This window comes from Homo sapiens, chromosome 19 (assembly GCF_000001405.40).
Source record: "Homo sapiens chromosome 19, GRCh38.p14 Primary Assembly".
Classification (NCBI taxonomy): Eukaryota; Metazoa; Chordata; class Mammalia; order Primates; family Hominidae; genus Homo; species Homo sapiens.
The window spans coordinates 8,260,766-8,277,057 of NC_000019.10; the positions used below are offsets into that span (position 1 = coordinate 8,260,766).

Genomic DNA, 16,292 nt, shown 5'->3' on the forward strand with positions numbered 1-16,292 from the left:
ATGGCAAAAACCACCTCTCTACTAAAAATACAAAAATTAGCTGGGCGTGGTGGCAGGGGCCTATAATCCCAGCTACTTGGGAGGCTGAGGCAGGAGAATCGCTGGAACCTGGGAAGCAGAGGTTGCAGTGAGCCGAGATCACGCCATTGCACTCCAGCCTGGGTGACAGAGCAAGACTCCATCTCAAAAAAAAAAAAAAAAAAAAAAAAAAACAAGAACCACAGCTGAGTTTGAGAAGAGGATGTGGTGGGAGCTGGGCTCCAGGACAGTGTCCCAGGCAACAAGCAAGGAGGAGTTCGAGGGAAGGAGCAGTGCTGGGGAACATTCTTTCCAACTGGCTTGGGTTGCACAGTGAAAATGAAGCCCCGCCCCTCCCAGCCTCCGTGGGAGACAAAGCCCCACCTCTGTCCGGCTACCCGGGAGATGAGGCCCCACCCCTTTTTTACTCCTTGGGAGATGAGGCCCCGCCCCTCTTAAACTCTGGGAGATGGAGCCCTGCTCCCTGTGTCTTCCTGGGAGATGAGGCCCCACCGCCTGCCTTCCTGACATGAAGCCCCTCCCCTATGAGGTGAGTAGGCAGTCGCCTGCTGATGAAGGGGAGGTGATGGGGGTCTGAGGAGTAGAGAGAAGCTGCCAGAGTGCCACCCAGGAAAGCAGCTGAGTTCATAAGTACCCGCTTGGGTGGGGTTCATAGTCATGAATGGCCAGTCAGGGAGCTCGTGTGTGTGTTCTGCTCATTTAGTACAAGCGAGAGGGGGCCTCGCGTGCCCAGCTCAAGAGTGTTAGGTATCATGGGGTGGGGGGCACTAGGGAGCCATAGGTGGTTATGGAGCAGGGAAGGCCATGCCAGTTAGAAATTCTTAGGACTGGGGGCTACAGCGGCTGGTCAAACCCCAGCCTCCTCCTCTCCCCCTGGCTGTAGGATCCTCTACACCACATACTACGAGTCCATCAGCAACAGGGGCCCCTTCTTCGGCTACTACTTCTTCAACGGGCTTCTGATGTTGCTGCAGCTGCTGCACGTGTTCTGGTCTTGCCTCATTCTGCGCATGCTCTATAGCTTCATGAAGAAGGGCCAGGTATGGCTGGACCTCCCCGGGGGCCCCAGCCCTAAGCTCCTCCTTCCTCCCTGCTCTGAGCTCCATCCCTCTCTCTGTTCCCCAGATGGAGAAGGACATTCGTAGTGATGTAGAAGAATCAGACTCCAGTGAGGAGGCGGCGGCGGCCCAGGAACCTCTGCAGCTAAAGAACGGGGCAGCTGGAGGGCCCAGGCCAGCCCCCACTGATGGCCCTCGGAGCCGGGTGGCCGGGCGTCTGACCAACAGGCACACAACAGCCACATAGCCGGGCGGGGCTGGCTGTAAGGGGTTGCCCCCCCGCCAGTGCCTTGGATATTTCTGGGGTGACTGGACTGGCGCCCCTGGGCCACCTTTCTGGAGACAGGGAGGGCCCCACCCGGGGTGGGTGGGAAGGCTGATGATCTGTCTCCAGCCCCTTCCTTCTGCCCACCCACCCTTCTTCCCTCTGGGCAACTGGACAGATCTGGGAGCCAGCAGCTGGATGCTGTGGCTGGCCAGAGACACCTCCAGGCTGTGGCCTGGGGGCTGGGGGGAGCCCCAGGCTGAAAAGGGTCCAATTAAAACAAATGGAGCCAAATTTTCTGCCTGAGAACTTGGGTCCCTATCAAAGTTCCTTCTTCATCCCCAGAGACCCCCGAGGGAGCCAGGCCTCTGCTTACATACCCCACCTACGGGATACTCACTGCCACCCAAGGATGCAGGGCCCCAGGGGCCCCAGACAGCAACAGAGCTCAGAGACCACCCGCTCCCCACGCTGTTCCCAGATGAGCCCCTGACTCGCCAGCCAGTGACTCAAACAAGCCCCTCCCTCCACCCTTAGGGTACCCTTGGGTCAGCCTCTCAAAGACCCCCTTGCAGACTAGCTCTGAAAGGTCAAGTCCTTTGCCCAAGCTCACAGGTAGGTCACAGACCAGGCCTGTCTCTGCAGTCCTTTCTTAAGTCCGGTAGATTGCCCACCTTTGTGGTCCCTGGATCCTTCCTTGGGACAGTGGAGGGAGTGGGCTGAAATCCCACAGACTTCCCAAGGGTTAGCCTGGGGAGGTCACTGTCTCTTCAAGAGCTCCAAAAATAAACAGAGGCCAGGCCTGGTGGCTCACACCTGGAATCCCAGCACTTTTGGAGGCTGAGGCAGGGGGATCACTTGAGGTCAGGAGGTCAAGACCAGACTTGGCAACATGGTAAAACCCCATCTCTACTAAAAATACAAAAACTAGCAGGGCAGGGTGACCCACACCTGTAATCGCAGTCACCTGGGAGGCTGAGGCAGGAGAATCGCTTGAACCCGGGAGGTGGAGGCTGCAGTGAGCCAAGATCACGCCACTGCACTCCAGCCTGGTCAACAGAGCAAGACTCCATCTCAAAACAAAACAAAAGCCAGGCGTGGTGGCTCGCGCCTGTAATCCCAGCACTTTGGGAGGCCGAAGCGGGCGGATCGTGAGGTCAGGAGATCTAGACCATCCTGGCTAACATGGTGAAACCTCACCTCTACTAAAAATACAAAAAATTACCCAGGCGTGGTGGTGGGCGCCTGTAGTCCCATCTACTCGGGAGGCTGAGGCAGGAGAATGGCGTGAACTCAGAAGGCGGAGCTTGCAGTGAGCCAAGATCTCGCGCCACTGCACTCCAGCCTGGTTGACAGAGCAAGACTGTCTCAGATAAACAAGAAATTGGACAACAAAGTATTGGAGAGAATGTGGGGGGTCAATAATCTCACATTATCGGGGGAATATAAATTGTTACCAACACTGGAAAAACCATTCAGCATTGTGTATAATAGTTGACCTTTTATAAAGCTCAAAAGCAACCCAAATGAGATAATATATAGGCATGAATACCTAGCTAGTAGAACTGTAATAAAATATAAACACAAAATTCAAATTAGTAAATTACCTTTGATCTGGGAAGGTAAGGGAATGGGATTCAGATAGATATCAATTACTATCACTGTTCTAGTTTTTGAAGTGAGGTGAAGTTTTTTTTGTTTTTTGAGATGGAGTCTCTTTCTGTCACCCAGGCTAGAATGCACTGGTGCCATCTTGGCTCACTGCAACCTCTGCCTCCCAGGTTCAAGTGATTCTCCTGCCTCAGCCTCCCGAGTAGCTGGGACTATAGGCACGTGCCACCACACCCGGGTAATTTTTGTATTTTTAGTAGAGAGGTGGTTTTGTCACGTTGGTCAAGCTGGTCTCGAACGCCTGACCTCAAATGATCCACCCGCCTCAGCCTCCCAAAGTGCTGGAATTACAGGCGTGAGAGAGGTGAAGTTTTTGAAGTGAAGTGACACACTCATTAAATACAATTTTTAAAGGGATATGACAAGCTACAAAATGGAAGAAAATATTTGCATATGATATATCTGAAGAGGTTCTAGCATCCAAGATATATAACTCTTACAACTCAATAACAACAAAAACCCTAATTTAAAAAATGGGTGACTGGGCACGGTAGCTCATGCCTGTAATCCTAGCACTTTGGGAGGCCAAGGCAGGCAGGTCACCTGAGGTCAAGAGTTAGAGACCAGACTGGCCAACATAGTGAAACCCCATCTCTACTAAAAATGCAAACATTAGCCAGGCGTGGTAGGGGGTGCCTGTAATTCCAGCTACTCGGGAGGCTGAGGCAGGAGAATCACTTGAACCTGGGAGGTGCAGGTTGCAGTAAGCCGAGATCATGCCACTGCACTCCAGCCAGGGCAACAGAGCCAGACTCCATCTCAAAAAAAAAAAAAAAAAAGGGGGGGGGGGCAAAGAGACCAGGTGTGGTGGCTCACCCCTATAATCCCAGCACTTTGGGGGCTTAGGCAAGAGGATCAGTTGAGTCCAGGAATTCAAGACCAGCCTGGGAAATATAGCAAGACTCCCTTCTCCACAAAAAAAGAAAAAAATAGGCAAAGGACTTGAATAGAAATTTCTCGACTGAGTGTGGTGGCTCACACCTGTAATCCCAGCACTTTGGGAGGCTAAGGCAGGTGGATCACCTGCGGTCAGGAGTTCGAAACCAGCCTGGCCAACATGGTGAAACCCATCTCTACTAAAAATACAAAAATTAGCCGGGCATGGTGACACGTGCATGTAATCCCAGCTACTCGGGAGGCTGAGGCAGGAGAATCGCTTGAACCCGGGAGGCAGAGGTTGCAGTGAGCTGAGAGCGCGCCACTGCACTTCAGCCTGGGCAACAAGAGCAAGACTCCATCTAAAGGAAAAAGAAAAAGAAAAAAAAAATTCCCAAAAAGAAATGGCCAATAAGCACATGAAAAGATATTCAACATTGTTAGTCATTAGGAAAATGCAAATCAAAAACACAATGAGAAACCACTTTACATCCACAAGAGTGGGTATAATAAAAGAAGTGTTGGCCAGGTGCAGTGTAATCCCCTCATGCCTGTAATCCCCAAACTTTGGGAGGCTGAGGCAGGTGGATCACCTGAGGTCGAGACTTCGAGACCAGCCTGACCAACATGGAGAAACCCCTCTCTCCTAAAAATACAAAATTAGCCGGGCATGGTGGTACATGTCTGTAATCCCAGGTACTTGGGAGACTGAGGCAGGAGAATCACTTGAACCTGGGAGGCAGAGGTTGCAGGGAGCCAAGATCATGCCACTACACTCCAGCCTGGGTAACAAGAGCGAAACTCTGTCTTAAAAAAAAAAAGTGTTGGCAAGGATGTGGAAAAAATGAAACAACTGTATTCACTGCTGGTGGAAATGTAAAATGATCACTGTGGAAAATCGTTTGGTGGTTCCTCAAGAAATTAAATAGAATTACTATATGATCCAGCAATTCCACTCCTAGGAATAGACCCAAAAGAATTGGAAGCAGGTACTCAAATATTTACACATGAATGTTCATAGCAGCACTAGTCACAATAAAGGTAGAAACAGCTGATCACAATGGTTCACTCCTGTAATCCCAACACTTTGGGAGGTCGAAGTGGGAGGATTGCTTGAGCACAGGAGTTCAAGACCAGCCTGGACAACATAGTGAGACATGGTCTCTGCAAAAAAATAGAAAAATCAGCAGGGTGTGGTGGCATGCACGTATACTCCCAGCTACTCAGGAAGTTGAGTGAGAGGATTGCCTGAGCCCAGGAGTACAAGACTGCTGTGAGCTATGATCATGCCACTATACTCCAGCCTGCGCAACAGAGAGACCCTGTCTGGAGGGGTGGGGGGAGAAAAAAACACCATAGAAACAACCCAAATGTCCAATAACAAATTGTAGTCCATCCATACAATGGACTACTACTCAGCCATGAAAAGGAATACAGCACTCACATATGCTGCATGTGAATGAACCCTGGAAGCATTATGCTCAGTGTAAGAACCCAGACATAAAAGGTCACACATTTTATGATTCCACCTATATGAAATATCCAGAAGAGGTAAACCTATAAAAATAAAATGTATATTTATAGCTGCCGGGGGCTTCAGGGTGAAGGCATAGGAAGAAACTGTTTAATGGGTACGGAGTTTTATCTTGCAGCGGTGGAAATGTTTTGGAACTAAAGTCGTGGTTCTACAACATTGCAAATGCACTCGATGCCACTGAACTGTTCACTTTAAGATGGTTCGTTATGTAAATTTCATCTTAATAAATGCATGAAGAAAGGGATTTGTATGTATCAACTACAGTGTCTCATGAAGCAAAGATTATAATTATTCCATTTACCTGGTGTTTCCCTATCCAATAATTCCCATTTCCTCCAAAAAAACAAATAATAGGAACCTCATGGGTTGAAAGAGAGCCCATAATGAAGATTAGAAAATACACTCCTATAGATGAATAGCAAAGGCCGGGCACAGTGGCTCACGCCTGTAATCCCAGCACTTTGGGAAGTCAAGGTGGGCGGATCACGAGGTCAGGAGATCGAGACCATCCTGGCCAACATGGTGAAACCCCGTCTCTACTAAAAATACAAAAATTAGCTGGGTGTGGTGGCACATGCCTGTAATCCCAGCTACTCGGGAGGCTGAGACATGCCAGCACTCCAGCCTGGCAACAGAGTGAGATTTTGTCTCCAAAAAAAAAAAAAAAAAAAAAAAGATGAATAGCAAAAATATAAAAATATTACATGTCAATGTTTGTGGAGTGTAGCTTAAGCAATCCTTTGGAGGAAGTTTGCAGCCTAACAGGCTTATATTAGAAACGAAAAAAAAAAAAAAGCAGCCTGGCGTGGTGGCTCACACCTGTAATCCCAGCACTCTGGGAGGCCAAGGGGGGTGGATCATGAGGTCAGGAGTTTGAGATCAGTCTGACCAACATGGTGAAACCCCGTCTCTACTAAAGATACAAAAAAAAAAAAAAAAATTAGCCAGCAGTGGTGGCACGTGCCTGTAATCCCAGCTACTCAGGAGGCTGAGGCAGGAGAATCGCTTGAACCCAGGAGGCAGAAGTTTCAATGAGCCAAGATTGTGCCATTGTACTCCAGCCTGGGCAACAGGGTGAGACTCAAAAAAAAAAAAAAAAAAAAAAAAAAAAGAAAAAGCTCAAAAATAATTAGCTAAGCATTTAAGAAGATTTTAAAGAACAGTAAAATAAGCTCAATAAAAGAAAAAACAGGATAAGTGTTAAAATTAGGATCATCAAACCTAAAAGTTAGTTATTTGAATGACTAACAGACGAACATCTGGCAAGATTAATAAAGAAAAATAAAAGAAGTCACAGAAAAAAATATAGAGACAGGCCAGGTGCGGTGGCTCATACCTGTAATCCCAGCACTTCTGGAGACCAAGGGAGAGGATCACTTGAGCCCAGGAGTTCAAGATCAGCCTGGCAACATGGCAAGACCCCCATCTCTGCACAAAATTTAAAAATCAGGCATGGTGGTATGTGCCTGTAGTCCCAGCTACTCAGGAGCTCAAGGCAGGAGGACCACTTGAACCAGGAGTTCAAGGCTGCAGTGAGCCGTGATCTTGCCACTGCACTCCAACCTGAGGAATAGTGGAAGGCCCCAACACTAAAAAACAAAAATAAAGCATCATACATGTCAAATGTTATATTTAATGTCATATTTAATTGTTGGGTACATAACCCTTAAGGTAAGAAATAAGACAATAGCTGCTATCGCCACCCTTATTCAAAATTATTCTGGGAGTTCTAGTTAACAATAAATCAAAAAAGGCCGGGCGCGGTGGCTCACGCCTGTTAATCCCAGCACTTTGGGAGGCCGAGGCAGGCAGATCACCTGAGGTCGGGAGTTCGAGACCAGCCTGACCAACATGGAGACACCCCATCTCTACTAAAAATACAAAAAAATTAGCCGGGTGTGGTGGCGCATGCCTGTAATCCCAGCTACTTGGGAGGCTGAGGCAGGAGAATCACTTGAACCTGGGTGGCGGAGGTTGCAGTGAGGCGAGGTCACGCCATTGCATTCCAGCCCAGGCAACAAGAGTGAAATTCCGCCAATTAAAAAAAAAAAAACCGTAAAACAAAAAAAGATATCAGTAGGAGAAATAAAGAGAATAAAACTGCCCATTATTAGTCTATGACATATCTATATCAAAAACCCAGGATGTAGAAGGCAGCACAAGATAACAGAATAGAAGGCTCCACCAACCATCCCTCCAACAAGGACACCAATTTAACAGCTACACACAAAAAAGCACTTTCCCAAGAACCAAAAATCCCAGCCGGGAGCAGTGGCTCATGCCTGTAGTTCCAGCTACTCAGGAGGCTGAGGCAGGAGAATCACTTGAACCCGGGAGGCAGAGGTTGCAGTGAGCCGAGATCGCGCCACTGCACTCCAGCCTGGGCGACAGAGCAAGACTCTGTCTCCGAAAAAAAAAAAAAAAAAAAAAAAAAAAAAAAAAAAAAAAAAAAAAAAAAAAAAGAAGAACCAAAAATCAGGTGAGCACTCACAGTACCCGGTTTTAACTTTATATCACTGAAAGACACACTGAAGAAACACACTGAAAGTCCTGAATCTCTGACACCACCTCTCCGCCACCCCTGGCAGCATGGTGTGGAGAGTGCCTTTGTGTGTTGGGGAGAGGGAGGGGGCAGCAATTGTGAGGCATGGAACCCAGCGCTGTCCTTTTAGAGCAGAAAGAAAAACCCGACCACACTCAGCTGATGCCCACCCATAGAGGGTGTGGGCGGCAAGCCACCCAGGTGCCGAGGCAAGAGACTGAGGGCACAAGTTGTTCCAGTAAAATAAAAAATATATATAAAATAAAAATAGTTACACCAGAAGACAAGAGTGCGAGCCCTCTGTTATGCCCGGACAGGGCCACTAGAGGGCTCCATGGTCTAGCGGTAATGCCGGCGCCTGGGAAGGCACCCGTTACTTAGCAGACCGGGAAAGGGAGTCTCCCTTTCCTTGGGGGAGTTAGAGAAGACTCTGCTCCACCACCTCTTGTGGAAGGCCTGACATCAGTCAAGCCCCCACCATCCCCACCTGCCAACAGCCATCCAGAGGCCTAACAGTCTAGCCTCTGTCATGCTGTGCTTCAGCGGTCACGCTCCTGTTTCACTTTCATGTTCCACCCTGTACACCTGGCTCTGCCTTCTAGAAAACAGTAGCAGAATTAAGTGAAAGTATTAAGCCGTTGACCTCTCCAAGAAATAATGACATAAGCTGTCCCCTCTCTCTGCCTCGGCTACCAAACAGGGAAGGGCCCCCTGTCCAGTAGACACATGACTCACGTGACCTTACCTATCACTGGAGATGGCTCAACACTCCTTACCCTGCCCCCTTGCCTTATATCCAAAAAATAACAGTGCAGCCAGGCATTCAGGGCCACTACCGGTCTCTGCGTCTTGGTGGTAGTGGTCCTCCAGGCCCCAGCTGTCTTTCCTTCTCTTTGCCTTGTGTCTTTATTTCTACGATCTCTCATCTCCACACACGAGGAGAAAAACCCACAGGCCCTGTAGGGCTGGTCCCTATAGAGGGGGCATTTAAACCAGCCCTAACAAGAGGGAAATTATGGATCCCAGTGGAATTTGAGTTCCTGCAAACTTTGCGACCCACCATGGGCTAAAGTGCTCTGGGTCTCTAAGTAAATTTGAAAGTCAGTCTAGGCTATCAGTGCAACTCCTAGGCAAGTCCTAGTGAGGTAGAAGATAAGATTTGACTTCAGAGGTGGGGCTCAGACACCAGACCATATTGAGGACTAGCTAAAACAGGTGAAGGAAAAGGGAGGGGGAAGCAGCTTTCGATGAGACATGCCTGCCAGTGTGCCGTGTCAATTTCACATTACCATGCTAACATCAAGGAATTACTGCCCCTTTCCAGGCAATGCCCCAATGATTAGTACCCCCTTCCCTAAAAGTTTCTACATAAACTGCCCCTTAATCTGCATGCGATTAAAAGTGGGTATATGCCAGGCACAGTGGCTCACGCCAGTAATCTCAGCACTTTGGGAGGCTAAGGCAGGTGGATCGCTTCAGCCCAGGAGTTCAAGACCAGCCTGGCCAACATGTCAAGACCCCATCTCTGCTAAAAATACAAAAACTGGCGGGGCAGGGTGGCTCATGCCTGTAATTCCAGCACTTTGGGAGGTTGAGGAGGACAGATCACAAGCTCAAGAGATCGAGACCACCCTGGCTAATGCAGTGAAACCCCGTGTATACTAAAAAATACAAAAAATTAGCCAGGCCTGATGGTGGGCACCTGTAGTCCCAGCTACTCAGGACGCTGAGGCAGGAGAATGGTGTGAACCCAGGAGGTGGAGCTTGCAGTGAGCCAAGATCGTGCCACTGCACTCCAGCCTGAGCGACAGAGTGAGACTCCATCTGAAAAAATTAGCCAGGCCTGCTGGTGCCCGCCTGTAGTCCCACCTACTTGGGAGGCTGAGGCAGAAAAATCACTGGAACCCAGGAGGCGGAGGTTGCAGTAAGCTGTGATCACGCCATTGCACTCCAGTCTGGGCAACATGAGCGAAACTCCGTCTCAAAACTAAAAGAAAAGATGAAGATGAAAAGAATACCTTTATGGAAAAATATAAAATGCAAAACTTGCACCAAGAGGTACCAAAAAACTTTACTAAATCCATAAATATTAATGAAATGGAAATAACTTGGGGGAGGGGGCAGACAATATGGTTCATGCCTGTGATCCCAACATTTTGGGAGGCTAAGGTAGACAGATCACTTGAACCCAGGTGTTTAAGACCCATCTGGTCAACATAGCGAAACCTGGTCTCTACAAAACAATTTAAAAATTAGGCCGGGCGCGGTGGCTCACACCTGTAATCCCACCACTTTGGGAGGCCGAGGTGGGTGGATCACAAGGTCAAGAGATCGAGACCATCCTGGCTAACATGGTGAAACCCTGTCTCTACTAAAAATACAAAAAATTAGTTGGGCGTGGTGGCGGGCACCTGTAGTCCCAGCTACTCGGGAGGCTGAGGCAGGAGAATGGCCTGAACCCGGGAGGCGGAGCTTGCAGTGAGCCGAGATTGCGCTACTGCACTCCAGCCTTGGCGACAGAGGAAGACTCCATCTAAAATTTAAAAAATAAAAATAAATAAAAATTAGCTGGATATGGTGGTGTGTGCCTGTAGTCCCCACTACTCGAGAGGCTGAGGCTGAAGGATCGCTTGAACCCAGGAGGTCAAGGCTATAGTGAGTCATGATGGTGCCACTGCACTCCAGCCTGGTTGACAGAGGGAGACCCTGTTGAAAGAAAAAAATGAGAGAAAGAGAGGAAGGGAAGGGGAAGGGAAGAAACAAACTACCTTCCGCTAAAGGACAAAACCCAGAGGATTTTTCAACCAAAGTTTTTGGGGTTTTTTTTTTTTTTTTTTTTTTTAGACGGAGTCTTGCTTTTTTTTTTTTTGAGACAGCGTCTCGCTCCGTCGCCCAGGCTGGAGTGCAGCGGCGCGATCTCTGCTCACTGCAAGCTCCGCCTCCCAGGTTCACGCCATTCTCCTGCCTCAGCCTCCCGAGAAGCTGCGACTACAGGCGTCCGCCACCACGCCTGGCTAATTTTTTTCTATTTTTAGTAGAAATGGGGTTTCACCATGTTAGCCAGGATGGTCTCGATCTCCTGACCTCGTGATCTGCCCGCCTCGGCCTCCCAAAGTGCTGGGATTACAGGCGTGAGCCACCGTGCCCGGCCCCAATCAAGTTTTATCAACATTTCAAGTAACAGTTATTTCTCATCTAATTCAGGCTGATACCAAGAAGAGGGGGAGGGAAAAAAAAGAGGGAAAGGGGGAGAATATCCAATTTCTTTTATTTTTAAATTTTTTATTTTGGAGACAGGGTTTTGCTCTGTTGCCCAGGCTGGAATGCAGTGGTGTGATCACAGATCACTGCAGCTTCCAACACTTGGGCTCAAGCAATCCTCCTGCCTCAGTCTTCCCAGTAGCTAGGATGACAGGTGCACACAACCACACCCAGCTAATTTTTTTATTTTTGGTAGAGATTAGGCCTTGCTATGTTGTCCAGGATGATCTGAATCTCCTAGCCTCAAACCATCCTCCCACCTCGGCCTCCCAAGCACTAGGATTACATGTGTGAGTCACCAAAATGAGTACAGGGCTTCCTTTTGGGGTCATGAAAATATTCTGGCAGTAGATAGATATGGTTGCACTGCACTGTGAATGTACCAAATGCCACTGAATCATTCACTTCACAATGGTTAATTTTATGTTATATGAATTTCACTTTGATAAAAACAGATGTGGCCGGGCACAATGGCTCATGCCTGTAATCCCAGCACTTGAGAGGCCAAGGCCAGTCGATCACCTGAGGTCAGGAGTTCGAGACCAGCCTAACCAATATGGTGAAACCCCATCTCGAATCTCTACTAAAAATACAAAAATTAGCCAGGCATGGTAGCATGCACCTGTTGTCCCAGCTACAGGAGGCTGAGACAGAAGAATTGCTTGAACCTGGGAGGTGGAGGTTGCAGTGAGCCAAGATCACACCACTGCACTCCAGCACTCCAGGTTGGATGACCGAGCACAACTCCATCTCAAAAAAAAAAAAAAAAAAAAAAAAAAAAAAAGAGGAGGCCAGGCACTGTGGCTAAATTCTATCATCCCAGCCCTTTGGGAGGCCAAGGCAGGTGGATGACTTGAGGCTAGGAGCTTGAGACCAGCCTGGGCAACATAATGAGACCCCATCTCACAAACAAAAAAGATTTCTTGGCCAGGAATGGTGGCTGACGCCTGTAACCCCAGCACTTTTGAGAGTCTGAGGCAGGTGGATCACAAGGTCAGGAGTTCAAGACCAGCCTAGCAAACATAGTGAAAACCCCATCTCTACTAAAGATACAAAAAATTAGCTGGGCGTGGTGGCACGTGCCTGTAATGCCAGCTACTCGGGAGGCTAAGGCAGGAGAATCACTCTAACTCAGGAGGCAGAAGTTGCAGTGAGCTGAGATCACAGCACCACTGCACTCCAGCCTAGGCAACAGAGCGAGACTCTGTCTCAAAAACAAAAAACAAGAACAAAAACAAACAACAGTTCTAGAGATGGGTGGTGGTGATGAGTGCACAACATTGTAAAAATACTGAATACCTTTGAAGCCCACTTTAAAATTGTTAAAGTGGTCAATTTTATGTTATTTTTAGGTATAATACTTACGTACTTTTTGTATTTTTTTCTATTATGTATTGATATGTATATTTAACAGTAGAAAAAAAATGATGGTCACTCGATCGGAAACAGAAAAGGTTAAAGCAAAAGTAAAATGCATGAAAACCAGGGAGAACTGCCAGATAAGCACATGGTCAGTGACCCTGGATTAGCCCGAGGCTGACTGGGTGTTGGACATGGGGAACGACCACCACCTAGGGGCAACTTGCCATCTGCCGCTATGTTCTTTCTGGGACTTGGAAAAACATGCATTACTAGGAACTTCCCCTACTGTTATTCCCTGTTTCCCCCGCCACCCCGCCCGAGACAGAGTCTTACTCTGTCTCCTAAGCCGGAGTGCAATGGCCGATCTCGGCTCACTGCAACACCCGCTTCCCGGGTCCAAGCGATCCTCCTGTCTCAGCCTCCTGAGAAGCTGGGATTATAGGCACAGGCCACCATGCCTGGCTAATGTTTGTATTTTTAGTAAAGACGGGATTTCGCCACGTTGGTCAGGCTGGTCTCGAGCTCCTGACCTCAAGTGATCCGACAGCCTTGGCCTCCCAAAGTGCTGGGATTACAGACGTCAGCCACCGCACCCGGCCTGTTATTTCCTCTTAATACTGACATCATCCTCCTGTTTACCAATCTTTGTCACAGACCAGGTGGCATCTCTGAGAAAACAGAAATCAGCAGGAGAGACCTTCCAGAGCCACTGCCCTCCATCAACCTGCAGACCTGCATCAGGACCCAGACGCAGTGGCTCTTCCTCTTGCCCTGTGAGAATCAATTTGCCCTGGATGCAGCAAAACCACGCCCCCTTCTCCACCAACTCCTCCACCCCTTCATGGGCCTAGACAAGCACCTACCTCAACAACCTCCCCGCACCCCTGGAGCATTCCTATCAGCACACAAATAGGTTGATGCATTTTTCCCTCCTTTGTTTTTATTATTAAGGTGAAACTCACACGGCATAAAATTAACCTTTGTTTTTTTTCCTTTTTTTTTTTTTGAGACTGAGTCTCGCTGTATTGCCCAGGCTGGAGTGCAGTGGCGCGATCTCGGCTCACTGCAACCTCTGCCTCCCAGGTTCAAGCGATTCTCCTGCCTCAGCCTCTCAAGTAGCTGGGACCACAGGCTCGTGCCACGACACCTGGCCAATTATTGTATTTTTAGTAGAGACAGGGTTTTGCTATGTTGGCCAGGCTGGTCTCAAACTCCTGACCTCAAGTGATCCACCTGCTTCAGCTTCCCAAAGTGCTGGGATTACAGGTATGAGCCACCATGCCCAGCCCCTTCTTTTTTTGAGAGAGAGAGAGAGAGACACAGACAGACAGAGTCTTTGTCACCCAGGCTGGAGTGTAGTGACTCGATCTCAGCTCACCACAACCTCCACCGCCCGCCTCAGCCTCCTGAGTAGCTGGGACTACAGGCACACGCCACCATACCCTGCTAATTTTTGTATTTTTTGTACAGAAAGGGTCTTGCTATGTTGCCTAGGCTGGTCTTGAACTCCTGGCCTCAAGGGATCCTCCTGCCTTGACCTCTCAAATTCATTTTCTTCTGAGGGCTTCTATTCCATGCAAAACTTCTATTAAGTAAATCTGTATCCTCTCCTGTTAACCTGTTTTTGTTTGTTTTGTTTTCTGAGACAGTCTTGCTCTGTCACCCGGGCTAGAACACAGTGGCACAATCTCAGCTCACTGCGACCTCCGCCTCCAGGGTTCAAGCAATTCTCCTGCCTCAGCCTCCCGAGTAGCTGGGATAACAGGCACCAGCCAGCACGCCCAGCTAATTTTTTGTATTTTTAGTAGAGATGGGGTTTCACCATGTTGGCCAGGCTGGTCTCAAACTCCTGACCTCGTGATTTGTCGACCTCGTGATTTGCCTGCCTCGGCCTCCCAAAGTGCTGGGATTACAGGCGTGAGCCACTGTGCCATGCCTGGCCCTATTTTTTTTTTTTTTTTTTTTTTTTTTTTTTTTTTTTTTTTTGGTAGGGGGAGATGGAGTTTCCTCTTGTTGCCCAGGCTGGAGTACAGTGGTACAATCTTGGCTCACCACAACCTCCGCTTCCTGGGTTCAAGCAATTTCCTGCCTCAGCCTCCCAAGTAGCTGAGATTACAGGTGCCCACCACGACACCTGGCTAATTTTTGTATTTTTAGTAGAGACAGGGTTTCACCATGTTGGTCAGGCTGGTCTCGAACTCCCGACCTCAGGTGATCCAGCTGCCTTGGCCTCCAAAAGTGCTGGAATTACAGGCGTGAGCCACCACGCCCTGCCTGTTAACCCATTTTATGTCAACTTAATAATTCTCAGGCCTAGAGGGATCCTAAGAGAACAGAGGTGAATTTTTGCTGCCGGACCTGCTGCTATGAACTTTAATCTATGAGTTTTTTTTTTTTTCTCGAGTTAGTATCTTGCTCTGCTGCCCAGGTTGGAGTGCAGTGGCAAGATCAGGGCTCACTGCAGCCTCAACCTTCTGGCCTCAAGCATTCCACCTAGTTCAGCCTCCTGAGTAGCTGGGACTACAGGCAGGCACCACCACACCCAAATAATTTTTGTATTTCTTGTAGAGATGAGGTCTCACTATGTTCCCAGGCTGGTCTCAAATTTTCGGGCTGAAGTCATCCACCCACCTTGGCGTCTCAAAGTGCTGGGATTACAGGCGTGAACCATCACGCCCAACCCTTTTTCCTTTTTAAGATACAGCAGGGTCTCACTCTGTTGCCCTGGCTGGAGCACAGTGGTACAATAATAGCTCACTCCAGCCTTGACCACCGGGACTCAAGCAATCCTCCCATCTCAGCCTCCCAACTAGCTAGGATTAAACATGTGAGCCACCATGCCCCGCTTCCATCTCTTTTTCATTTTGTCTTGTTTTTTTTTTTGTACAGAATATTGCTCTGTTGCCCAGGTTGGAGTGCAGTGGCATGATCTCTGCTCACTGCAACCTTCTCCCAGGTTCAAGCGATTCTCCTGCCTCAGCCACCCGTGTAGCTGGGATTACAGGCACCCGCCACCACACCCGGCTAAATTTTTCATTTTTACAAGAGACCGGGTTTCACCATGTTGGCCAGGGTGGTCTTGAACTCCTGACCTCAAGGGATCTGCCCGCTTCAACCTCCCAAAGTGTTGGGATTACAGGCGTGAGCCACCGCACCCAACTTTTCATCTGTTTTCTGATTCTTCCTTAGCTCCAAAACATCTAAGGTTTGGCTGCATTCACTCCTCTCCAGCCCACAGACGCCCAACTGGGCCAATTCCCAAATTCATCATTCTAGCCCAAACCCTAGGGTCCAGTGCCTTCTCAGCCTCTGCCACAAGGGGTCCTCGCAGGCCGCTCCAGTGTTGCAGGTCCCAATCTGGACTCCTAGGGGTTTCCCACCCAAGCCTTGTCCGAGCGTCCTCTCCCTCTCAGTTAGCACCATCTTCCCAGGCTCTGCTCTGACAGTTCTGAGGCATCCACGCCTCCTCCCACCTGCATCCAATGTGTCTGCCAATCCTACAGCCCCCATCGCCTTTTCCTTCAAAACAGACCTAGAAGCCAGTTATCACTGACCACCTGCACTTGCCAGCTAGGTCCAGCCCCTTCCTGACTTCTGGGGATCAGTGCAGTTGTCCCCTCCCTGGTCTCCCTGCAGGTTCTGTTCTCCCCACTGCAACCAGAAACACCTTCTCTTTTTTTT

The 16,292-nt window shown here is 48.9% G+C and overlaps 1 protein-coding gene across 11 annotated transcripts in view, besides 1 other annotated feature; it reads left to right on the forward strand.

Annotated features, from left to right (window-relative positions):
• Positions 1-1,656, forward strand: part of CERS4 (ceramide synthase 4) — a 53,052-nt gene extending 51,396 nt beyond the window's left edge. For all 11 annotated transcript variants that reach the window (XM_017027304.2, XM_047439435.1, XM_047439433.1 and 8 more), the window contains 2 exons: positions 923-1,079; positions 1,165-1,656. In XM_017027304.2, the coding sequence (XP_016882793.1) occupies positions 923-1,079; positions 1,165-1,344 (337 nt within the window). In that variant the 3' untranslated portion in view covers positions 1,345-1,656. The remainder of the gene's footprint in view (positions 1-922; positions 1,080-1,164) is intronic.
• Positions 8,211-8,540: an enhancer, noted in NCBI's record as "active region_13910". NCBI's record gives its function as "activates an Ori minimal core promoter by ATAC-STARR-seq in GM12878 lymphoblastoid cells {active_cell/tissue: GM12878}" and the evidence as "EXISTENCE:reporter gene assay evidence [ECO:0000049][PMID:35858748]".